General features: G+C 38.0%; 1 protein-coding gene and 1 long non-coding RNA gene across 5 annotated transcripts in view; both read right to left on the reverse strand.

Annotated features, from left to right (window-relative positions):
* The window catches only part of LOC105377343 (uncharacterized), a 78,644-nt gene extending 75,104 nt beyond the window's left edge, over window positions 1-3,540 (reverse strand). The window contains exon 1 of the long non-coding RNA XR_007058196.1: window positions 3,382-3,540. This is a non-coding gene — a long non-coding RNA (uncharacterized LOC105377343). The remainder of the gene's footprint in view (window positions 1-3,381) is intronic.
* EIF4E (eukaryotic translation initiation factor 4E) overlaps window positions 20,286-27,248 on the reverse strand; it is a 49,858-nt gene continuing 42,895 nt past the window's right edge. For all 4 annotated transcript variants that reach the window (NM_001968.5, NM_001130679.3, NM_001331017.2 and 1 more), the window contains 2 exons: window positions 25,932-26,071; window positions 20,286-22,152 (listed from right to left, as the gene is read on the reverse strand). In NM_001968.5, coding sequence (NP_001959.1) covers window positions 22,038-22,152; window positions 25,932-26,071 — 255 coding nt within the window. In that variant the 3' untranslated portion in view covers window positions 20,286-22,037. The remainder of the gene's footprint in view (window positions 22,153-25,931; window positions 26,072-27,248) is intronic.

Raw genomic sequence — 27,248 nt, forward strand, 5'->3', positions numbered from 1 at the left:
GAGATTTCAGAGAAGATGGCCATATGAATGTGTTCCTGCCATTCGACACTCTTTACTCCAGCCCAGCAACAACTGCTTCCCCAAGTAGGTAGGTATGGACTATGTGAGCTAACCCTCAGGTCTGCTTAGATCATTTCAGATAGAGTGAACTTAGGACTTTCCCTTCCAGGCCAGATGAAGTCATGGGGACCTGTAAAAAGAACAAGAGCCTTAGGATGAGAATTGAAAAGTCACCCATATATGCTTGGCCGGCTCACGCCTGCAATCCCACTACGTTGGGAGGCTGAGGAGGGCAGATCACCTGAGATCAGGAGTTCAAGACGAGCCTGGCCAACCTAGTGAAACCCCTGTCTCTACCAAAAATACAAAAATGAGCCAGGCGTGGTGGTGGGCGCCTGTAATCCCAGCTACTCAGGCTGTTGAGGCATGAGAATCACTTGAACCTGGGAGGCGGAGGTTGCAGTGAGTTAAGATTGCACCACTGCACTCCTGCCTGGGCAACAGAGGGAGACTCCATCTCAAAAAAAAAAGAAAAAGAAAAAGAAAAAAAAATGTCACTGATGTAAGATCATACCAGATCTCATGAACATTTCTTTTTGAATCTCTGGCCCTTGGGGACCTGTGGAAAACTGACAGGTAGATTGGATCCCTGCTGCCCAGAATCTGAGAAGTCAAGGGAATAGAGCATTGTCAGCAGTGAATAAACACCTTCTGGCTTAGGTGCCAGTGGGCTGCAAGATAGAAAACGACAGTGCCTCTCAGAACTAGTGGAGTTGCACTAGAGGGACACCAGCATCAGGACTTTAGCTCTGAGCAAGGGTGTAGCCATGAAGAGTAAAAGGAAAATAACAAGACCCCTAACCTAGCAGCCAGAGTGAGGAGGTGGGCAGAACCGCTATTACCTCCCAAAACAGAATTACTGGAGGACAAAGAAGCCATCTTGAACAAACCAAAAAAAGTGCTTAAGAAAACCTGATTACAAATCACAAACCATGGGTTTTAAACTTAGAAAATAAGTAGATGAATTGAAGCAGAGAAAGGTCACTATTTAGATTTCAAATGGTGAAATGTAAAGGTCAGGTTGAAGGCCTAGCTCAAAGCATTCAGCAAACATGCAAAAAATTGGGACTCATGAGAGAAAAAATAAAGACTACCAGGACAGATCCAGAGCATCTCTCATAAAAAATGACAGGAGTGCCAAGAGAAGTTAAAGAAGTATAGATGAAGGAAAGGCAATAATTAAACAAATTAATAAAAGAAAACTGAAGTCTGCAAATTAAAGGGGTCCACTAAGTCCCAGTTAGGATTGTCAGAAAAAACATACACACCTACACATGACTTCATAAAACTCTGTACTCCAAGGATAAAATCATACAAACTTCCAAATTGAAAGAAAAAGAGAGCATAAGAGAGAGAAAAAGAGTCATTTTCTTACCCCTCCAAAAAAAAGATTTCTTTCTTAATCAAGTTTGAGTCCTTTCTTGAACATTTGGCTAAAATGCTGTAGGTGGTTTGTATGGTCTCTGAATATTTACATATCTGGAAATTATTTTTCATTCAGCAAGTAAAGGATATCTTAGCTGTGTAACAGACATTTATATAATACTTACAATGTGCCAGGCCCTCTTCTCAGCACTTTAGAAATATTAACCCTCCTAATTCTCATAACAATCCCATGAGATTGTTATAATCCCCATTTTAACAGAATGGAAGTACAGAGGTTAAGAAACTTACCCAAGGTCACAAGCTAGTAAGTGGCAAAACCTTTTCTCTTTGTTACTGTCAGTCCATGTGCATCTAATATTAAAAGCCATACACTGAATAAAGAGAGGCATCATATAAAGTAGCAATTCATGTGGATATAATGGTCATTAACTTGTATGAACTAACATACATACATAGATTTGTATCACAGTTTTTGGATGAGAAAAAGTACTATAACTAAAGTCAATAAACAATATGCTTGCAAAAGTATTTATAATGCAAAACAAATAGTTAAATAGCTCTTAGAAAACAGTAGTAAAAAAGCAACTTGACAGAAAAATGTCCTAAGAAAGTAAATATGCAGAAAAGTAAATACAAATACATACATGAAAAGATGTTCAAAATACCACTATGCAGAGAAATATAAAGTAACAATGACAAATTACTTTACATCCATTAGATTATCAAGAACGAAGAGCTTTAGTTAACATGTTACCAAAGTTGTTACTGTAGCTTATAGAGGCTAATGTAATCCAAACCCAGACCATCCCTTCTGACCTCATTTCTTTCTACTTCTCCCTTATCACTCCACCCCAGCCACACTATCCAGCTAGTGACCTTCACACAAAGCACGGCTCCCTTTTCCTGAAACACTCATTCCTTAGATACAACTCTGGCTTGCTCCTTAATTCAGGTCTTTGGCCAAAAGTCAACTGCTCAGAAATTTGCCCTGATCACTCAACAATCTTATATATAATGCTCCTTCCATACTGCTCCATGTGCTGACCCTACTTTATTTGCCTCACAACACTTATCAGTTACCTACCATAACTGACTTGCTTATTGCATTTGTATAATAATTATTTTATTGTATTCATTTGTTTATTGCCTGTCTCCCTTAGTAGGAGACAGGAACTTTTTCACTCTAGCACCTAGAACAGTGCCAGGAACATGGCAGACACTCAGTAGACACTGACAGAATGAACAAACATGCAATGAACAAACACTGACCACTAGAACAGATGCTAATAAAATGGAACTCTTCTATACTCATGGAGAATATGCGGATTTATAACAGCATTTCTGAGTTTCTGTAAAATGATGCATATGTATGATAATATTCCCCTTAACTGAGCAGTAGGTCACCATCTGCATAATCTAAATAAACTTCCAAATATAAGGACAAATGTAAAAGAAGAATATCTATAACAACACTACTTATAGTGGAAAAAACTAGAAACAAGAGTGAATCCTCAGCAATAAGGATATAATTAAGTAAAATGTGTTACATACACAGCGTAGTTTATGCAGGCTTTAAAAGAACTGAAATTAGATCTATGCCTGTTTTCTTAGAAGGATCTGTACTACATATTAAGCAAGAAAAGCAAGATTCAGGTGTTTATACTATGAACCCATTTTATGAAACAATGACTAAACCTCCACTCTATACATATACATATATTAGCCTAGTGAAAGGGAGGTACCAGTGTTGATAATGCTCATGTGGAGCTTGGGCAAGGTAAGGAAAAACATAATGCTCTTTTGAAAAATGTCCACACCAAAATCAACACAAATGATACAGTCCCCATTATGTACAATTATACATGTGTGGCAGATACCATAGGTTGTCTGTCCAACAGCCACTCCTGATCATTCTTCCTTGCTATCAAAGCTTACCTCTCAATATAGTAGCAGAAAATGCCAGAAACACTTGTTCCCTTTCTCCCTTGTAGTTGAAGGATGACCATGTAACCTGACCAATGGGAACTAAAAATCTGCTAGAGTCTCCTAGGAAGCATATTGTTTCCCCTTGAAAAGAGAGACGTGAAGAGAAGCAGCTCATTTCCTTGCTTCAAGCTTTTGAACATAGTTATCTGAGGAAGTTATGACTGAAGCTGGTAGAGCCATCCTGTGACTATGCCGGGAAGGCAAGATCAAGAGAAGTCAATCCAAAGCCCTGACTCTGCTAAACTGCTGTCAATCCTAGAACTGTCATCTCCAGCCTTCTTATTACATGTTATATATTTAATGAATACATTTCTATTGTTGACGTTACTTTCAGTCAAGTATTTGGGTCAACTGCAGCCCAACATCTTAACTAACCCTGTATCTATGTGAATTTTATGAGTCCATAAAAATTTGACCACGAGGCCAGGCGCAGTGGTTCATGACTATAATCCCAGTACTTTGGAAGGCCAAGACCAGTGGATAACTTGAGCCTATGAGTTCAAGACCAGCCTGGGCAACATGGTAAAACCCTACCTGTAGAAAAATATATATACATACAAAAATTACCTGGGACTGGTGATGCAGGCCTGTAGCCCCAGCTACCTGGGAGGCTGAGGTGGGAGGATCACTTGAGCCCTGGAGGTTGAGGCTGCAGTGAGCCAAGATTGCACCACTGCACTCCAGCCTGGGTGACTGACAGAGCAAGATCCTTTCTCAATAAAAACGTTAAAAAAAAATTACCACCAAAATATTAACAGTACTTATCTTGGATCAGGGAGATGGAAGGAAATTGCAGGTAAGTTTCATTTAATCCTATACTTTTATAAATTGTTTGGATCTTTAGTGAGCAAATATCCTTTATAGAGTCAGCCCAAAACAATAATTTTATTTTATTATTACACATAGTTTCATTATTTTAAAATAATGAAATCAAAATAATACAGCTGATTTCATTATTTTAAAAAATGACATTAGAGTCAGGCAATAAATAAGATAAATTAGAGATAAACTTAAATGCTGTAAACGTGATTATAAAACATGGTACAAGGCTGGGTGTGGTGGCTCATGCCTGTAATCCCAGCACTTTGGGAGGCGAAGGTGAGTAGATCACCTGAGGTCAGGAGTTCGAGACCAGCCTGACCAACATGGAGAAACCCTGTCTCCACTAAAAAATATATAAAAGTTAGCCAGGCGTGGTGGCACATGCCAGTAATCCCAGCTACTTGGGAGGCTGAGGCAGGAGAATTGCTTGAACCCAGGAGGTGGAGGTTGCAGTGAGCCAAAATTGCACCATTGCACTCCAGACTGGGCAACAAGAGTGAAACCTTGCCTCAAACATTTTAAAAAAAAATTAAAAAAAAACCCATGGTACAAATAGTCAAAAGTTCCTATTCAGTGAGAAAAGAGATGATGTTTTTAAAAGTATTTAAAATAATTGGGCATTTAAAAAAGACTGAGAAGTATAAAAGTTGAATTTTTTTAAATAAGAGGAGCTAAATAAAAATCTTACATGTCATGTCACGGTTGACACTGGCAGTTGAAGAACACAGATTAAAGAATGATTTTGGAGACTTAAAACATCCACTATACAAGTCAAATACAAAATTTGCATATTTTAGAAATACAAAAGCAAAGAAAGTAGTTTAAAGCAAAACACTGAAAAAGAAGTAGCAATCAAGCATTTAAAAGACTAAAAATGCAGGGTGGGGTTGCTCATACCTGTAATCCCATCACGTTGGGAGGCTGAGGCGAGAGGATCGCTTGAGGTCAAGACCAGCCCTGGGCAACATAACAAAACTGTCTCTATTTTATTTTAAAAAAAATTAAAAGTGAAAAAATTAATAAATAAAAATTAAAAACTAAAAAGATGACTATAATCAAAGATATATGTTATAACAATAAAGATAAATTAATCTTGTACAGTAAATAAGGATGATCTGAAAAGTTAAAAATGACCAAACTCTGGCCTCCAATTGAAAATAATAGACAGAGGATAAATTTGTCTCCCTTCCTTCCCAAAATCATAAGGAAGTAACAGTGAAGAGGAATAAGGACTTCTGATGTGAAATAGCTGTGCAAATCAGCATCTTTTACTTTCTCCTTTTAGAACTGTTAGATATAAGTTCTAAATATCTTTTCAAAGAATCAATGTCAGTATGTTCAATTCTTTACCTTCTACTTTTAAACTTAACTTCCTCCTAAAGCAACGTTTTTCTATTACCTGCTCCGCCCTGACTCATTCTGATTACCTACTCCACCCTGACTCATTCCAATAACCTGCTCTGTCATAACCTTTTTTCCCGCCAACCACTCACCCCCTCACTCTCTTTAAATTAGCTAATCGGAATTAGTTTATCCTGTGCGGTCTAACCCTAGCCCATAAGGGAAAGACACAGCAGAAGGCGCCACGTGTGTCAGGGATAAGCACCCCTTCCCCTCCCTTGTGCAAGTGTGCACTCACCATTGCTCCATCTGTAAGGGCTCACCCTTCTATAGAAGTGCCTTGCCTTGCTAAGAATTAAAAAGGAAAATTTTATATTCGAGTGCTATTTATTTTGCGGCACCGAAACTTTATATATAACAGCACCTGGACGAAAACAACAAGAATATCTGGTAGGGGAGACCCTATGACCTTTCTCAATGAAACACAGAAAAAGTATAATATGGACGCCAAAACATAGGTAAGTAGTGCGAAAGCACCTGACATTGTACAGACAGAATAGAGACAGCCCACTGGTGGCAAATCTCAGAGAGCACCAGCAAAATACACGTGCACCCTAAAATGTATATCCTTCTTTGCTATAAGCAGTGCAAAAATGGAAGTGAGCAGGACTGATACAGGCAGCGGGGCATACAAAACTTAGATGGTACCAAGGAGGCCTGGCAACCAAAAATGTGAGAAATACCAGAAAAGTACACTCAAACTGCAATTCACTAATTTTTTTTTTTTTTTTTTTTTGAGACAGAGTTTCACTCTTGTTCCCCACGCTGGAGTGCAATGGCTCACCGCAACCTCCACCTCCCAGGTTCAAGTGATTCTCCTGCCTCAGCCTCCCAAGTAGCTGGGATTACAGGTATGTGCCACCACGCCTGGCTAATTTTGTATTTTTAGTAGAGACAGGGTTTCTCCGTGTTGGTCAGCCTGGTCTTGAACTCCCGACCTCAGGTGATTTGCCCCCTTCAGCCACCCAAAGTGCTGGGATTACAGGCATGAGCCACCACTCCTGGCCTCACTAAATACCTTTTTTAAAATGGCACATCAAAGATAATATCAGAAATAAAATAAGCCACGCACAGTGGCTCACACTTGTAATCCCAGCGCTTCAGGAGGCTGAGGCAGAAAGGTCACTTGAGTCCAAGAGTTCAAGACCAGCTTGGGCAACATAGACCCTGTCTCTGTGAAAAATAATAATAGAAATAAAACGAAAAAGCAGCAAAACTGACCAGCAGATAGAAAATACTCCCCCAGAAAATATGAAAAATTTATAGTTAAAAAGAATAAAATGGTTATTTTCATCAGGCTATGCAACTGAAATCCAACTGACAAGCGAAAAACAAAACAAAACAAGAAAGAGTAGGAGGCGTATTGGACAGATGGTAAAATCTGAATAAGGCCTATAAAATGCTTGAGTGTATTAATGCTAATTTCCTGATTTTGATCATTATACTATGGTTATGCAAAAAAAATGTTCTTGAAAGCTGGGCGCGGTGGCTCACGCCTGTAATCCCAGGACTTTGGGAGGCCGAGGGGGGTGGATCACGAGGTCAGGTGATCAAGACCATCCTGGCCAACATGGTGAAACCCTGTCTCGACTAAAAATACAAAAATTAGCTGGGTGTGATGGCACACGCCTGTAGTCCCAGCTTCTCAGGAGGCCAAGGCAGGAGAATCGCTTGAACCCGAGAGGCAGAGATTGCAGTGAACCGAGATCGTGCCACTGCACTCCAGCCTGGCGACAGAGAGAGACTCGGTCTTAAGATTAAAAAATAAAAAATGTTCTTGGTTTTAGGAAACAAAGATTTTAGGAAATACACACTGAAATATTTGCGGCTAAAGGAGTATCATGTCAGCTTATTCTCAAATGGTTCGGAAAAAAATTTAGGTAGAAAGAATAGGCTGAATGTCGTGGCTTATGCCTGTAATCTCAGCACGTTGGGAGACCAAGGTTGGAGTCGCTTGAGGACAGAAGTTTGAGAACAGCCTGAGCAACATAATGAGATCCCATCTCTATAAAAAGTTTTAAAAAAGAATAAAGTAAAGGTAGTAAAATGCTAACATTTAATGAATCTGGGTGAAGGATAGTCTTGGAAATAATGGTATTCTTGCCAGGCACAGTGGCTCACACCTGTAATCCCAGCACTTCGGGAGGCTGAGGCAGGTGGATCACCTGAGGTCAGGAGTTCAAGACCAGCCTGACCAACATGGAGAAACCCCATCATTACTAAAAATACAAAAATTAGCCAGGCGTGGTGGTGGGTGCCTGTAATTCCAGCTACTCGAGAGGCTGAGGCAGGAGAATCACTTGAACCCAGGAGGTGGAGGTTGCAGTGAGCCAAGATGGCGCCATTGCACTCTAGCCTGGGTGACGAGAGCGAAATTCCGTCTCAAAAAAAAATGTATTCTTGTATTATTGTTATAATTTTTATGTAACTTTGAAATTATGTCAAGACGTAAAGTTAAAAAAAAAATATTTACCTGGAATTGGCCGGGCGCGGTGGCTCATGCCTGTAATTCCAGCACTTTGGGAGGCCGAGGCGGGCGGATCATGAGGTCAGGAGATTGAGACTATCTTGGCTAACAAGGTGAAACCCCGTCTCTACTAAAAATACAAAATTAGCCGGGCATGGTGGTGGGCGCCTGTAGTCCAGCTACTCAGGAGGCTGAGGCAGCAGAATGGCATGAACCCGGGAGGCCGAGCTTGCAGTAAGCCGAGATCGCGCCACTGCACTCCAGGCTGGGCGACAGAGCGAGACTCTGTCTCAAAAAAAAAAAAAAATAAAAATAATAATAATAATAATAATAATAACCTGGAATTTACACATAGATAATTCTAATGATTGGTCTAAAGTGAAACCTGTCCATTTACAATTCTAACCTACACTAAAGGTTAGACTTCAGGGGTTAGAGAGAAGCAATAGTTCCTAGAGGAGAGGAGTTCAGACAGATAATACCAGGGATATATATTGCATTGGAGAAATATTAGACATTTCTCTGTGTAATAAAGCCTACAGTTAGCAATGAAAATTGCCATCTTTTAGCATCAAATAACTTTACATGAATTGTATAAGGCAAAAACTTAGAAATACAAGGGGGAAATGAGCATATCTACAAATCCATTAGGACAAAAGCTTTAAATCAGGCATGGTGGCTCATGCTTGTATTCCTAGCTACTTGGGAGGCTGAGGCAGGAGAATCACTGGAGCCCAGGAGTTCGAAACCTGACTGGGCAACACAGTGAGACCCCATTTCTACAAACAAATTTAAAAATTAGCTGGGTGTGATGTTGCATGTCTGTATTCCCAGCTACTTGGGAGGCTGAGGCAGAAGGACCACTGAGCCAGTCTGGGCAACATAGAAAGATTGCATTTTTTAAAAAAACAAGCAAACCAAAAAACCCCCCAAAAAACAAAAGCTTCATCTGGGGAGATGTTTTTGTCCTGATCTTTTACTAGTGTAAACCAGCACTTAAGAGGTACCTGGCATATAATAATCACTTAACAAAATGTAGTAGAGATTTGGACACATTTCATAGATTTACAGATAATCATCATGAGGGTGAAACCATGTCCTATTGTTCTCCACTGTCTATTCAACACATAATAGATGCTCAATAAATATTTGTTGATTGGCTGAGTCTGCTTTTTGATACTTGTGGGAGACTGAGTAATAAAAACATCTTTTAATGAGTCAGAATTCTAGTGGTATAAAAAAGGAATGTGCATATTCCCTCCAGCTTCTTTTTAATTTGTAACAACGTGACACCACATTTGGATAAGGTGAATATAGGCTCTTCTGCTATACACAACAAAGAGAAGTATTCATGTTATTGCAGATGATGACATAGGCTTACGGTCATGAATTGTGAGGCTTTAAATAGGCAACCAGTCTAATGTAATTAAATGTTCCATCATTGACCCCCCTACCCCCTGCAAAACATATTCTACGGAGGACCTATCTAAAACCAGCATTACACTTTTGACAGATTATTTAGCTGATTAATAGTTAACAGTGCCATGTAGCAAAATGATTCATTCAGTTATTTAGGGATATATTTTGTATTTATGTTAAGAGTATAACTTGAAGTTAAATTAACCAATTGTAAACAAACAATGAAGGCTTCAGAGAGAATTTTTTATGACCAAGGTGGCCAACTGTTATAAATTGCTTTGTAATTTTCATAGGCCCACATTACCACAGATACTTTTTGTGGCACTTTTTCAAACTACAGATTGTGACTGACTAGATAAAGAAGATTGAGACTAGCATTAAAAAAAAAAAGAAGAAGAAGAAGAAGTTGGGTGGTGCACACCCATAATCCTAGCTACTAGAGAGGCTGAGGTGAGAAGATGGCTTGAGCCCAGAATTTGAGGCTGTAGTGCACCATGATGGCACCTGTGAATAGTCACTGCACTCCAGCCTAGGAAACACAGTGAGATTCTGTCTCTTAAATTTTTTAAAATTTTTAAATGAAATAGACTAGCATAGAAAATCTCAAAACGCATTCCATATGGTAACACTGAGAACCACCTAATGAAACTTTTGTTTTGGTGTATACATATATCTACATAAACTGAGCCACAATATAGAATGCATTTCTTACTGTAGGATACAGTAAGGAACTTTTTTGAAAAACACTTTATGCTTTAGAACTCTTTGCAGCAGAACTTCGACTCACTGCTAGGATGATTTGGTGGCATTCCAATCAGGTACATTTCATTATCAGACTCAACGAAAAGAATGACAATCTTATTTAAGCTTAGCTCTCAAAGCATATGATTGCTCTTCAGATACTTGTCCAAAAGTAAAATGCACTGCCATTTGAAACATTAAAAGCTCACCTGAGAAAAAAATGCATACAGCACAGCTGTCCAATAGAACTTTTGGAGCTAGAAATACCTGCACTGTCCAACATAATAACCACTAGCCACATGTATTGAGTACCTGAAATGTAGCTAGTATGAGGAGCTGGTGAATTTTATTTAATTAACATTAAGTAGCCACATGTGGATAGTGGCTACTGTTTTGGATAGCACAGATACAGGGCATTATGCCTTAATACTTTCAAAATGTAGGTACACGAACAAAGAAATAAATGCTACATGTTTGAGATGATGAATATCCTAAATACCCTGATTTGATCATTACACATTGTATGCATGTATCAAAATATCACACATACCCCATAAATATGTACAATTATCAACAAAAAATAGATTTTTAAAAGGTGGTACCTGGACTATAAGGATCATCTGAATCACTTGGGAGCTTCTTAGAAATGCTGAATCACAGACCTGACTGCAAGCATAATTAGAGTGACCAGCTGGTTCATGAGCACAATAAATTTGAAAAGCACTGATCTATAGGACTGGTTTTCAATGGGCACGGAACCAGTGAGCACTGCTGTACCAGTGAAAATTAATGGGACACTTTGGTTGGAACAATTACTGATGAAGTGCTTCTGGCACTACTACACATCTAAGAGCTGGCATCTCAAATGACATTCAAATATCTTGCCAAATATTTATGTAATTTTAAAATAATCTAATCATAATAGTGAACATTTGAATTGAACTCAATTTTCTAACATTATCTAGCACCAAGTATTTTTTGTGCAACTTTAATGTATTCTGAATTTTCCAGGAATACCATATGTAAATTGAGGAAAAGATATATTTTTGTCCAGAACTTTTACTAAGTGTTGTGCCCCATTTCAGAAAAGCTTATTTAATAGCCTGAATTTAAAAGTTATCATGTGCACATCTAGGTGGAGGTTCAGTTATCAGACTACTTCATTATGTAGTTATGTTGGAACTAAAACAAATATTTTATTTAAAACGACTTCCCTCTTATTTCACCTATTATATTATCTCTATTATTCTCCAGTTAAGACTTTTTTCCTTTAAAAAAAAGTAGGTAAGCAAGTTATATACACATGAATTTCACTTCAGGATAATAGTGTGCACTGATTTTACATATGAGGTGCTGGGTCTAACAGACTTAACCACTGATTTAAAGATTTATGCACCTATTATCATCCCTCTAGATCAGGGGGCCTTAATCTGGGAATACTGTACAAGGATCTTCAGCCAAGAATTCTATTGAGTGCAGCTTCAGGAGATCTATAAAGTCCTCCGTAGCACACAATTTGATGCATAGGTATTAAATGATAATCAATCATCAAGGTGTTGCCACCACAGGGTGAAGAACACATAACTTTATCAGGAAGTACTAAATTAAGAAACATACGTTACACCCTGAGACTGTATAAATTAGGCTGGACTATAAACTTGGGCCTCAAAATGTGGATCACCACCCAGTTACATTTACAGAATTGCAATTTTTATCATTTCATCAACCTACATTGATGAACTCTACAAAAAGAAAAAAAACTAAAAGAGTTACAGAGTCACTGCATTACTCACACTATAGGTGTTCCTTCACCGAGACATAGGGAAGGCTAACATCCATTAAACATTTGCTACACACCAAGCCATACGTTACATTCTGTACACCCAGGAATTCATTCATAAAGTCTCACAACCACCCTCTGATACAGGTATTACTCCTTGTTTCACAAATGAGGAAACTAGCTTAGAAAGCTCAATTAACTTTGACTAAGTTCATACAGCTAATAGCAGAACTAGAATGTGAACTCAGGTTGTCTGCCTCCCAAACATGCATGCACTTTTCTGGAGAGGGTGGCTACTTTTTCTTTAATGTTATCATAAAGTATACATCTATTGGATCTTGTCTTCCATTGGCATAGCCTGCTAGATTTCTTAGGGCAAAAATTATATCCCACAAATGAAAGTTGCCCAAGCATGACATCAGCATCTTTGAGTAAATTGCTTCACTTAGAGTGGTCACTTAGAATGGGCTTTATGGAATGCATTTGGCATGCTAACCTTACCTTTGGTTTAATATTTTTTCACATTCTCCCTTTTCTTCATTTTTAAATTTACTTCCTGCAATAAGGCAATGAACAAATAAATCCACACTACATGCTGCTTTAGGTAATGCATGAAATACTAAGACAGTCCTACAGAGTGAATACAGCTTTATTGGATGATTTAGAAACCACCTGGAATCATTCTTATAATTCAAAACACCAACTATCATTATGATAACAGTACATAAGTTCCAGTATTTTCCACTTTGAGAGAACCCTGGTTTCCTTGGCTGCTTTCTAAAGAGGAGAAAAAGAACACCTAACAGGGAGATAGATCAACAATGAGCACATTTGAGGGCATAGGCAAAAAGTAGGGAGATCAGTTGTTATGTTATTTAGGTAAGAACTGATACAGTAACAGTCAGGAGACAAATAGAAACTGCAGTGGACTTGGAGACACTGCCTAAGTGGAAGGTGAAAGGAAGTAGAGCCATGCAAACCAAGCTTAGTTGACCATATTGATGACAAAGTCGTAAATGGTGTTAGGAGTTTGTAAGAAGTAAAAGGGAAATTTAAAGAGGGTAAGCTATTTGGTTTTTTGCCAACACTACCATCACTGCAAAACGTTTAGAGTAGGTGGTCAGCAAACTTTTTACATAAAGAACCAGTTAGTATATATCTCAGGCTTTACAGCCAGATAGTCTCTGTCTACTTTAAGACAACTCTGACATTGTGGCACAAAAACAGCCATGAATATATGTAAACAAATGGGTAAGGCCATGTTTCAATAAAACTTTATTTACAAAATAGATGTGAGCAGTCAGAATGGCTATTACTAAAAAGTCAAAAAATAATAGATGCTGACAAGGTTGTGGAGAAAAGTGAACACTTATTCACCGTTGGTGGGAGTGTAAATTAGTTCAACCATTGTGGAAGACAGTGTGGCAATTCATCAAAGACCTAAAGGCAGAAATAGCATTCAACTCAGCAATCCCATTACTGGGTATATACACAACAGAATATAAATCATTCTATTATAAAAAGACATGCACATGTATGTTCATTGCAGCACTATTCACAATAGCAAAAACATGGAATCAACCTAAATGCCTAATGATAGACTGGATAAAGAAAATGTGGTACATATACACCACAGAATACTATGCAGCCATAAAAAAGTACAAGATCATGTCCTTTACAGGGACTTGGATGGAGCTCGAGGCCATTATCCTTAGCAAACTAATGCAGGAACAGAAAACCAAACACCACATTCTCACTTGTAAGTGGGAGCTAAATGATGAGAACACATGGACACACAGAGGGGAACAACACACACTGGGGCCTATCAGAGGGTGGAGGGTGGGAGCAGGGAGAGGATCAGGAAAAACAACTAGTGCATACTAGGCTTAACACCTGGGTGATGAAATAATCTGTACAACAACCCCATGACACAAGTTTACCTATGTAACAAATCTACACTTTCATCCCTGAACTTAAAAGTTAAAAAAAAAAGTGATTGGCACAAAATGACAGGATGGATAACCCAAGGGCAGTAGAAATGGAAGATGCGAACATTTGAAGACAACCTTCATAAAAGTACTACTTACAAAACAGCATGTAGAAAAGGAAAATAGTGGTTTCCTGAAAGGAGAAAAAATGTGCTTACTAATCACTTATCATTCTGACTCAGTTACAAAACCCATGTGTGGAGACATGCAGGACATTGCAATATTTAACCATGGTTATTATCTAAAAGGCAGAGCTAGAACACAGAGCCCCAACAGTATATCTAATACACTCAACACCTTGACATAAACAATACAAAACAAGGTCAAGTTGGGACATATCTTGTCTCACATGTCCTATGGCATATACTACACATCAAAACACGATGTCAGGCACCATGCACAAACCATTCACCCAAAATTGTGTCAAATGTTGAAGTCACAAAATAAAGCAGAAAAATAATGCTCTTAAAAACAAATCAGGCCAGACACTGTGGCTCACGCCTGTAATCCCAACACTTTGGGAGGCCACGGCGGGCGGATCACCTGAGGTTGGAAGTTTGAGACCAGCCTGACCAACACGGAGAAACCCCGTCTCTAAAAATACAAATTAGTCGGGCGTGGTGGTGCATGCCTGTAATCCCAGCTACTTGGAGGCTGAGGCAGGAGAATCGCTTGAACCCGGGAGGCAGAGGTTGCAGTGACCCGAGATCACGCCATTGCACTCTAGCCTGGGCAACAAGAGCGAAACTCCTTCTCAAAAAGATAAATAAATAAAAATAAAAATAAATCAAATGCCAAGGGAAACTGGTTATGACCATAAAGATGTCTTTGGGAAATGCTCTCATTTAGAAAACTGTGAAGTTAAATTCATTATAAGGCATAACAATAAAACTAGGTCCGATATCACTGCATTTGATTCAGTTTTTTCAATGTTTACAGGTAAATAGGTAAAATGAAAGTAGATGCTAGTTCATAGCCCATCTTTGGGAAAGAGTACAATCTAGCAAATAAACAAATTACATGTATAACAATGTTGGCTCGTTAGAACAAAATACATTAAAAACCAATCAGAAAAATATCATGAGGACCAAAACTGCATAACTCGCAAAGCTGCATTATAGAACACAATAACGAAACAGATGATGGTCTGTATACATGGATTAGAATGGTTTGGGTGTTAAAGGGGTGGATGGTAAGTGCCACTTGATACTGCTGAAGAAAATCAATCCGTCTTTTTTTTTTTTTTTTTGAAATGGCGTCTTCCTCTGTCGTGCAGGCTGGAATGCAATGGTGCAATATGCTCACTGCAACCTCCACCTCCTGGGTTCAAGTGATTCTCCTGCCTCAGCCTCCCAAGTAGCTGGGGCTACAGCTGCGCACCACCACGCCTGGCTAATTTTTTTTTCATATTTTTAGAGACGGGGTTTCAGTATGTTGGCCAGGCTGGTCTCGAACTCCTGACCTCGTGATCCGCCCACCTCAGCCTCCCGAAGTGCTGGGATTACAGGCGTGAGCCACCATACCCGACCCCAATCCGTCTTCTTTATGCTTAGTGTAAAAAGATATGAATCCAACTTGAGGGTCTGTGAATGCAAAAATTCAACCAACAAGAGAGACATCTGTATAATGGAACACCAGACACTAAAAATAATGTGTTCGACATACATCATGACAAGTAAAAATGAGAAAACAAAGCTAATGGAATTTTTGTGTCCAAAGAAAAAAGTTACATATATTGGACATCTTTTTTTTTTTTTTTTTTTTTTTTTGGAGATGGAGTCTGGCTCAGCTGCGCAGGCTGGAATGCAGTGGCATGATCTCAGCTCACTGCAGCCTCTGCCACCCGAGTTCAAGTGATTCTCATGCCTCAGCCTCCCGAGTAGCTGGGATTACAGGCGCACACCACCACGCCTGGCTAATTTTTTCTAATTTTAGTAAAGACGGGGTTTCATCATGTTGGCCAGGCTGGTCTCAAACTCCCTGACCTCAGGTGATCCACCCACCTCAGCTTCACAAAGTGCTGGGATTACAGGCATGAGCCACCATGCCCAGCCACAGTGTACTTCTATTGTATGCACAAGTTTCTAGACACGTACAAGAAATTTGAGTGGCACCTTGAAAAACAACAGTAGGAGACAGAATTCTCATCTTCTACCTTTCTGTAGGGATGAAAAATAAAATAAGCATGTATTATGTTTGGCCAAACATTAAAGAAAAAAATCACAGATCAGTATTTTGGGAAGGTGGTTGGAGAAGCCTCTAAAGCCACACCAATGCAAACACAATTGCATTAAAAATACTACAGTATGGTAAAAAATGTTAAATGAATGGTGAAAAAATTTTAAAGTACAATCAAATAATCAAAGAGACACAAAACTTTACTTGGACAATCATATAGAGTTCAGTAATATAAAAGTAGAAACGGTCTTGCAAAAGCTATAATTTGCATATGCTGGTTTGCTAGAGTCCTCCTGGAATGTGATCTGTTTAGAATCAATGTTTTAGAGCTGGAAGAGTATTTAGAACCAGGGCCGGGTGCAGTGGCTCACGCCTGTAATCCCAGCACTTTGGGAGGCCGAGGTGGGTGGATCATGAGGTCAAAAGATCGAGACCATCCTGGCCATCATGGTGAAATCCCATCTCTACTAAAAATACAAAAATCAGCTGGGTGTGGTGGCACGCGCCTGTAGTCCCAGCTACTCGAGAGGCTGAGGCAAGAGAATCGTTTGATCCCGGGAGGCGGAGCTAAGAGCACGCCACTGCACTCCAGCCTGGCAAACAAGACTCTGTCTCAAATAAAAAAAAGAAGAAACAACCTCATTTTATATTTACCTCGACTGCATAATCCCCAGTAATAAAACCCTAGTCCTATTTTCTGTAACAACAGCTATTTGTAGAACCTTATGAACAGACACGTTTTTTTTTTTTTTTTGAGATGGAGTCTTGCTCTGTCACCCAGGCTGGAGTGCAGTGGCGCGATCTCAGCTCACTGCAACCTCCACTTCCTGGGCTCAAGTGATTCTCCTGTCTCAGTCTCCAAAGTAGCTGGAATTACAGGCGCATGCCACCATGCCAGGCTAATTTTTGTATTTTTAGTAGAGACGGGGTTTCACCATGTTGGCCAGGCTGGTCTCAACTCCTGATCTCAGGTGATTCACCCGCTTCAGCCTCCCAAAGTGCTGGGGTTGCAGGCATGAGCCACTGCTCCTGGCCAGACTCACGCATTTTTAATATATGTTTGCTTTTAAATCTTCTTTAGAGCAGGGCCCCAGACCATTCTGTTCTTGCTATATGCCCAGCACGTGGAACACAGTAAATAGAGGTGCTCAATACATATGTATGTGTGTATACATACTTTTGTTTCAGAAAAGGTAGGGAAGTGAGTTCTGTGCAAAACTATGAGAAATCACAATGCATGAAGTAAACAAAAAGCTGCAAGATTAAAATATGAAAATTAGTTCCCCTGTACTGGAAAAGACAGCACCATAGGCACATGTGATCACATGCCTACAAGTTCATTTTTTGCTTCTACCAGTAGAATGGTCATAAGAATATTGAACTCTAAACTATGGTAGTAGGAAGGCTACCTAATGCCTACTTTGCAATTCATAGTAAAGCAGGACACAAGAGTTTATTTTAAGATGGTAGAGAACAGGACCAAAGTTTTTGACACCAAATCCATAACTGCATGAAGATGAAAACTGTAGACGTAACAGACCCGGTTGTTCTAGGAAATGATGGGCAAATGAGTTGCCCTGGGCTAATGGGGAAAGCAACCTGTGAACAGTGTTTCTCACACCATATGTGAGGGACCAGTCTTAACCCCTAAATTGTACTCTGCCAGACATACTATATATACACATACATATGTGTTTTGTTATATATTATATATATTACACACATACATAAATATTTTTTAATTTGTTTGTAGCGATGGGGTCTCACTTTATTGCCCAGACTGGTGTTGAACTCCTGGACTCATGCAATCCTGCCACCTTGGCCTCCCAAAGTGCTGGGATTACAGGCATAAAGCACTATGCCTGGCCTGTAAGATATATTTTTTTAAAACATTACTAGAAAAGTGATCACATACTAATGTCACAGTAATATAAAATTACTATAGAAGTTTCCAGACACACAATTTCTACGCTGACCTTGAGTGATATGCTGAAGTTTTGTTTATCAATGTCAATCTTGAATTTGTATAAAGGATCTGACATTTATTGTTTTACTACTCAATAATAAAAACATTCTGTAAGAAACAATTAGAGATAAAAGGTGCATAGCCTTGTCACTAACTTTAAAATATAACACTGCTTTGTCACAACGCCTAAAATTATCCTTTTGAATGCAACTTTAGCATTTAAGAATCTCAATGCCTATCAGTTTGAATATTTTGCCATTTATATTAGATTAGAATACAGAAGCTTAAAATGTATACGAAAACATGACCATGCATTGATTAATGATGGGAATATGTTTTGAGAAATGGGCCATTAGATGATTTCGTTGTGTACTTACACAAACCTGAATGGTATAAACCTACCACAAATATAGGTTTCAGGGAACAGTCTATTACTGCTCCTAGGCTACAAACCTGTATGGCATGTTACCATACTGAATACTCCATAATGTTATTTGTGTATCTAAACATAACAAAACATGGAAAAGATACAGTAAAAATACAGTGTTACAATGTTACTGGCCCACCATCCTATATATGGTCTGCTGCTGACCAAAACTTCCTTATATAGCATATGATTATATTTATGTACACTACCTCCCCATAAACTCCTGTATCTTTGCCTCCAAACTTCCCCAACTGACTAACACAGTGAATCTAGGGAAAATTTCCATCTATTACTAGATTCATTACCAAAGGGAGTAAAATGGAGAAATGTTTGCATGCCCGACCTATAACAAGCTGAGGTGATTTACTATAGCCTATTAGACAGGCTGTACCCTATGGAGAAAGTGTTATGTAATTATTGTCTCTGGAACCAAATTTCCAGAATTCAAATCCACCCTTTGCAATTTACAAGCAAAAGTTAAATTCTCAGTAACAGCACCTACATCTCAAAAGATTATTCTGCAGGTTAATAAGCATGTAAAGTGACTGAACTACTGCCTGGCACATAAATTATTACTATGTAGTGTTATAATTATTTAATTGCATAGTATGCATTAAATCCTTCTGTAGAATTGGGATAATAAACTTTAAATTCATTAAATGAAATGTCACATGCCTACAATAAACTGCTATTCACCCATTAAAGCCTATTTCAATTCTCTATTATGAAAATACATCTATTTGGGCTGGGTACGGTGGCTCACACCTGTAATCCCAGCACTTTGGGAGGCAGAAGCAGGCAGATCACAAAGTCAGGAGATTGAGACCATCTTGGCTAACACAGTGAAACCCCGTCTCTACTAAAAATACAAAAAAAATTAGCCGGGCATGGTGGCAGGTGCTTGTAGTCCCAGCTACTGGGAGATCACGCCACTGCACTCCAGCCTGGGAGACAAAGCGAGACTCCGTCTCAAAAAAAAAAAAAAAAAAAGAAAATATATCTATTTAATCTATTTATAATATCCTGCTAAACAGAGAGAAAACAGTAAGTTGGAAAATAACATATAGCCTAATTTTGTATTTAGAGAAGATGCTGATAAAGTTATAAAAGTTGCAAGTCACTGTACTATTTAAGTGGCAACTGCCAAAAGTGATTCAGCGTAATTTATTATCCTTTCTTGTCCCCAGGAAAAAGGTTTAAAATAACATCATGATTCTAAAATGGTAATACCAATAATCAAATGCTACACATCAGTTATTTCAAAAATTTAGAACTGTATACATTTAATGTGTTAATTCCTCCTTTGCACCTAAAAGCTGATGCTTAAAATTGGACTTCATCTTAGAATTAAGAAAATAGATCAATTTATAATAGATACACTACTTCAGTCCCACCCACTGCCAACATACCAGTAACATCATCACTTTTAAGTAAACTCTTGAAGTACTCAAAACTATACATATTGACATAGACAGTAAGTCACCTTAACCAATTACCCAAGTTTAACTAGCAGATATTATGTACAGTATGCTGAGATTATAATAAACACAGAATTCTGATTCAGTATTTCTAGAATACTGAACAAGAGGTGTTTGTGGCATTGAGAGTACTGTGATAACCTGTGGTACCCTTTAAACTGCTTTAAAATTTTACAATGAAATCAGTGCTATTAATTTCATGTTTATTTCATACAGGGTTTTTGTCAAGTTTATCAGTTTTAAAATGATTAAGTCATAATCACCATTCAAAGACAAATTTTCCTCTCAAAATAATAATTTCCATTCTGCTACCTACAGTTTGGCTTATCCTTTGGTCTGATAGCCATACTTCATCTCACAGGACTATACAAGTATGTACTATGTACAAAACATTTTCAAGTTTGCTTTCAAATGATACCTACAAAGAGTAGATCAAGTTTTCAAGTTTACAGAATACCATACTACAACAATTTACCACTATAAATATGTCTTAACACCTGTTTATTCCATTCTATTTAGATTGCAACACTAACAAGATTCTTAATGCATATGTCCCCACCACCTGTACTTTCCCTACACTATCATTTTGACACTTAACATAGAAACAACTCAATTCAGCAACCAAGTTTTACAACCACTGTTGCTACCAATCAAATGGTGATGCATCAGATCCCAATTCTCATGAGTATTAACATATTAAGAGAGTACATTATTTACCTAAGACTGAATGACTGTGCCTTACTTTATAAAAAAACAAAGATAGCCACATCAATTTAATTCCATATATATGATACTACCTATTCAATTTATTAAAAATTGTAATAAACATAATAATCAAACTAGTGCTCCAAACTTATGCTGTTCACATGGAAGACACCACAAAAGAAGACATAATATAGAGACTGCCTTGCAATAAGAAGTACAAATTCCTTCTATAAAGATGGAGAAATAAAAGGACAAATCTAGTTGTCTAAAAGACAATTCACTGTACACATTTTATTTACAGTTTTGTACACTGTCTTAATATGAATGGGACTGCTTTTCTACTTGAGCCATTTTTAACCAAAGCAAAATAACCTAAGTAATACAAAGTGTTAAAATACAGCATAAAGATACAAAAACAGACATACTAATTCTAGTTAGGAATGTAATTATGATGTTACATTTTTTATAATCCACAATTATGTTTAGGAAATCACACAAACATAGATCACTGATTTGAATGAAATGCATAAATTTGTAGCAAAGCTTTGTAGTTACAAAAAACAAAAAAAATTACCAAAGAATGCACAAAATTAATGTTTATTCCACCTTTGTGTCATATTCCTGGATCCTTCACCAATGTTACATGAGGAAAAAAACAAAAGCAAAACAAATGAAAAACTGAAATCAGAATCACTAATATTATCAAGTAGGGAAACAAATAAATTAAAATCTAGCAGCCATCAGCAAGAGTACAGCAAAGACAATGCTGTAAAAAGAAACAAAGAAAATTGCTAGAAAACTGTATGCATCATAATCTTTCAAACCAGCAAAATATGCTTCTGCATAAAATGGAACAACAGAATTTTTTTTCCTGTAAAGTATAGAAATGCCAAGTTGTTTTCTGACTATTGTGGATAGGTAAAATCTGTATGTAATTAATGGTAATTCTACTGAACTATTACAGAGTGGGCCAGGAACACATTTATGGATTCTGGGGATGTGTACTGTAATTCTTTGATTGGGATAGTGGAAACTCTAGCCAAAAAAAAAAAAAAAAATGAACACAGAAGTACAAGACAAAGGCGAATGAGACTTCTCTTATATCTGAGTAACATTAAGATGGAAATCAAATTTAAATGCAGTCCACTCTGCTTTTTGAAGAGGCTTTGGTTCAGCTCCCAAATCTCGATTGCTTGACGCAGTCTCCTATGAGAATACTCAGAAGGTGTCTTCTTAAACAACAAACCTATTTTTAGTGGTGGAGCCGCTCTTAGTAGCTGTGTCTGCGTGGGACTGATAACCAATCACTATCTTTGGAGGAAGTCCTAACCTTTCCTTGTATACCCTCCTAGAAGAAAAAAAAAAAGAAGAAGAAAAAAGTAGTCATTAACTTTTACTCACAAGAAATACATTTAAAAATTTAGGGTTATTAGTCTTTATATTAAAAAACATAGACTTGAGAATAAAATAGGAAATTAATTATACACCCTTTTCCTTTCAGCACAATTTACTCTTCATTTTTGCGATATTCTTGGTTAATTACTTTTAAAATATTTGAGAGCGAGTCAGGTATGTTATTACTAAATTACAGGAGCATTACTATATTATTATATTGTTATTTATTATGATACTATAATTATTACTAAATCAACAGTGAACAAAGTAAGGACAGTCCCTGAGCTGACTGCATTTATAGTCTAGTAGAGAAAACATAATCAAATAATCACAAATACATGACAGACCTGTATCACATGCATACTTAAAAACAGAAATCTGTAAAACAAACATGTTTCATTCTTTGATCTAAAATGTTACATTTCACGTCTGAACCCTAGCAAATATTGTATATTACTACACAAATTATATTAACCATACCTGTTATAAGACTGCACAAACAAAAACTAAACACTTTGAGGGAGATTAAACACTTCGAGGGAGTGAATGAAACACTTCGAGGGAGAATGTAATTTCTGCTTTACATACTAACTTTACAACCTAATTTTCAAGTAAGACATGACTCTATTGCAAGAATAAAATGGCACTTGTCATGAGTGCCAAAGAGTAAACATAAGGGCTGTGATACTGTATAACAAGGAGATTCTAATCTCATCTACAACATTAGAGAAGTCTTCCCCTTTAAATATCACGAGGTCAAAAGGATAATGTTAAGAGAATGAGCACATTTGAAAGCTGAGAAATAAAAATTAGGCTGTGTGGCTATGGCTTGTAAGTAAAGTGAACATGAGATAAAGCTGACAAGGTTTCAGAGGAAGATCACAGAGAGCTTCATAGGTCATCTTAAAAATTTGAATCTTTGGCTGGGCGCGGTGGCTCACGCCTGTAATCCCAGCACTTTGGGAGGCCGAGGCGGGCGGATCACGAGGTCAGGAGATCGAGACCATCCTGGCTAACATGGTGAAACCCCGCCTCTACTAAAAATACAAAAAATTAGCCGGGTGTGGTGGCAGGTGCCTGTAGTCCCAGCAACTCGGGAGGCTGAGGCAGGAGAATGGCGTGAACCTGGGAGGCAGAGCTTGCAGTGAGCTTGAGTGAGACTGTGCCACTGCACTCCAGCCTGGGTGACAGAGCAAGACTCCGTCTCAAAAAAAAAAAAAAAAAAGAAAAAAGAATCTTTAGGAAAAAAATAGTAAAAATTCAAAAATAAGCAAAAATCAAATAAAAATAAAGGAATAAAGATATTAATGGAGTTAAATCCTCCAACATGATACTAGGATAGGTTTTTTTTATACCTTCCAGAAGATTTACTACCTTCCCCCTAAAATAAGGTATTAAAAAGTAATTTTATGGTAACTAAAGTGTTAATTATCAAATTTGCATTATAATGCAATGCATTCCTTTCAATTATACTTAATTATTAAAAATGTCAAAAAGCAAGACCATTGAGTCATGCAAATTGGAAGGTTAAAAAAGAAAATCTTCGTTTGAAAATCTGAAGTCTTAATATACACTCAAAAACATTTAATATTGACAAAAATACAAAACTTCCGTAGGAAAAAAATTCTTAATTTAACTCATTTAAAAAAAAAAAAAGTAAATCCTCCAAAATTAGGTTTTGATGCTGGAAGAAACATTAAAATATGATGACAAATCAACTCTTTTCTCTTATGGAACCCCATATAGCATGAAATGTAGAAAATCCCTATACCTTTTGATCCAGAAATAAATTATGTTCACATAAAAATTTACATGGCTGAGAGCAATGGATCACGCCTGAAATCCCAGCACTTTGGGAGGCTGAGGCAGGTGGATGACTTGAGGCTAGGAGTTTGACACCAGCCTGGCCAACATGGCGAAACCCTGTCTCTACAAAAACTACTGCAGTGGTTCAGGCCTGTGGTCCCAGCTATTCAGGAGGCTGAGGCAAGAGAATCACTTGAACCCAAGAGGTGGAGGTTGCAGTGAGCTGACATCGCGCTACTGCACCCCAGCCTGGGCAACAGAGTGTGACTCTGTCTCAAAAAATTAATTAATTTTAAAAAGAAAAATTAATAATATTTGAAAAATCACAAAGGGGCAAACCAAACATTTTGACCACTGACTGACCAGCACTTAATTTTAACATAAAATTGTAAGTCAAATTTTTTTTTTTTTTTTTTTTTTTGTGAGACAGTCTCGCTCTGTCTCCCAGGCTGGAGCGCAGTGGCCCAATCTTGGCTCACTGCAAGCTCCGCCTCCCGGGTTCATGCCATTCTCCTGCCTCAGTCTCCCAAGTAGCTGGAACTACAGGCGCCCGCCACCACGCCCAGCTAATTGTTTTTTTTGTATTTTTAGTAGAGACGGGGTTTCACCGTGTTGGCCAGGATGGTCTCAATCTCCTGACCTTGTGATCCACCTGCCTCAGCCTCCCAAAGTGCTGCGATTACAGGTGTGAGCCACTGCGCCTGGTGTCAAATATTACTAATATAATTGAGGTAAAAAGAAATCTTAGAAAAAAAATGTCAGCTGGTTTAGCATGGTGGCTCACGCCTGTAATCTCAGCACTTTGAAAGGCTGAGGTGGCTTGATCAAGTCCAGGAGTTCATGACCAGTCTGGGCAACATGGCAAAACCTCTTCTCTACAAAAAATACAAGAAAATAGCCAGGTGTGGTCATACACACCTGTAGTTGCAGCTAATTGGGTGGCTGAGGTAGGAGTATCACCTGAGCCCAGGAGGTTGAGGCTGAAGTGAGCCATGACTGCACCACTGCACTCTTGCCTGAATAACACAGTGAGACCCTGTCTCAAAAAAAAAAAAAAAGCCACTTTTGCAAAGAATAAAATTTACAAAAAAAGGTTTAATAAAACCCTACATATGTGGGTTTTAAACATGGAACAAAAACCAAGATATGTTATATAAATTTTAATGAAAATTATACGTAGTAAACACACATGCTTTAAATGCACATATACTATTTGCCAATAATCACTGAATTATTATTATGAGCATACATTAGCTCTTTTCAAAGTAGTACTTTTTTCCAAACAGCACTTTCAAAGTAGGAAATAATACATTCTCATTTGTGAATGAATAAAAAATGCTACATGCCAAAGGAGAGTGCTCTAGTGGTTATATACTTCACTGCTAAGAAAAAGCAATTTTACAGAAATAAAAAACATATGAAAAAGGCCAGGCGCAGTGGCTCATGCCTGTAATGATAGCACTTTGGGAGGCTGAGGTGGACGGATCACTTGAGACCAAAAGTTAAAAGACCAGCCTGGCCAACGTGGCAAAACCTGGTCTCTACTAAAAATATAAAAATTACCCAAGCATGGTGGCATGCGCCTGTATTCCCAGCTACTCGGGAGGCTGAGACATAACAATCTCCTGAACCCGGGAGGCGGAGGTTGCAGTGAGCCTAGATCATGCCACTGTACTATATATAGCCTGGACAACAGAGTGAGACTCTATCTCTAAATAAATAAATAAATAAATAGCTGTGAAAAAACCCAAAAAAACAAGACGTTGCGCACCAATTGAGCCGTTCAAAATTATAAAAGTGTTCACGAAAACAATACAAGGAAAACAGGATCTACAAACTGAAGTATTTCTAAAGCTACAAATAAAATAACTTCTGGTTTTACTCATCTTAATACTGTAAAATAAGTAGGCAAAGAGCAAAACTTACCCTATATGTGTAACAGCTTCTCTGTTTTCACATTCAGTAGTCCATATTGCTATCTTATCACCTTTAGCTCTAACATTAACAACAGCGCCACATACATCATCACTGTAGTCATCAAAAGATTCTCCAATAAGGCACAGAAGCTTAAAAAAAAATCCCAAATTACATTTAATAGATTATAAACAAGCTCATTACACTGCAAATGTCTCTTCTGTATTTGCATAGAAACTAAAGGCAGTTTTTAAATCAAGAGTTAATTTTTTAAATGTGTAAATTTTATTTGCATATATTGATCTGTCCTGACTTTTAAATACTCATTCATTTATTTACTATCAAATCAGCCTTTTTCAGCAAATTTGGCAGTTAATGTCATGGCAGACATAAAAGCTGATTTTATTAATATTCATTTGCTCTGCTGCTGCTTATATTTATGAGCAAACAAATATTAATAGAATAATAAAAATAGCTATTCATGGTTAATCTCCTCTTGTTCTTATTTTTTATGAATATTTGTTAATGGTCTGGTTTTTTGTTGTTGTTGTTGTTTGAGACAGGGTCTTGCTCTGTCACCCTGGCTGGAGTGCAGTGGGATCATCACAGCTCACTGCAGCCTCAACCTCCTGGGCTCAAATGATCCTTCCACCTCAGCCTCCTGAGTAGGTGGGCATACATACAGGGACATGTCACCATACCCAGTTAATTTTTGTATTTTTTGTAGAGACAGGGTTTTGCCATGTTGCCCAAACTGGTCTTGAACTCCTGAGTTTAAGTGAAATGCCTGCCTCAGCCTCCTGAAGTGTTGAGATCACAGGTGTGAGCCCAGCCCTAACAGATTTCTTAATTGTGGTAAAATACAAATAACATAAAATTTACCATTTTAACCACCTTTAAGTGTACAGTTCAGTGGTGTTAAGTACATTCAACATTGTTGTACAACCATCCCTACTACCATCCATCTCCAGAAGATTTTTTTTAACTGCAAAATGGAAATGTCCTGACTTTTTAATGTGGAATTCAAAAATGGTATTTGCTCATGATCTTCCCCCTCAAAAACAGAATTTTCTTCTTAAAAAGTCATTCATTCATTAGCTGGCTGTGCTGGCATGCACCTGTAGTCCCAGCTACTTGAGAGGCTAAGGCAGGATGATTGCTTGAACCCAGGAGGCTACAGTGAGCTATGATGGCCCCACTGCACTCTAGCCTGGGCGACAGAACAAGACCCTGTCTCTAAAAAAAAGCAAAATAGTCACTTATTCAAACATTTAAAGTGATTAACTTAACAAGTGCTAACTATAAACCAGGCACGGTTTCAAGTGCTAG

The sequence above is a fragment of the Homo sapiens genome, chromosome 4 (genome assembly GCF_000001405.40).
Source record: "Homo sapiens chromosome 4, GRCh38.p14 Primary Assembly".
Lineage (NCBI taxonomy): Eukaryota > Metazoa > Chordata > Mammalia > Primates > Hominidae > Homo > Homo sapiens.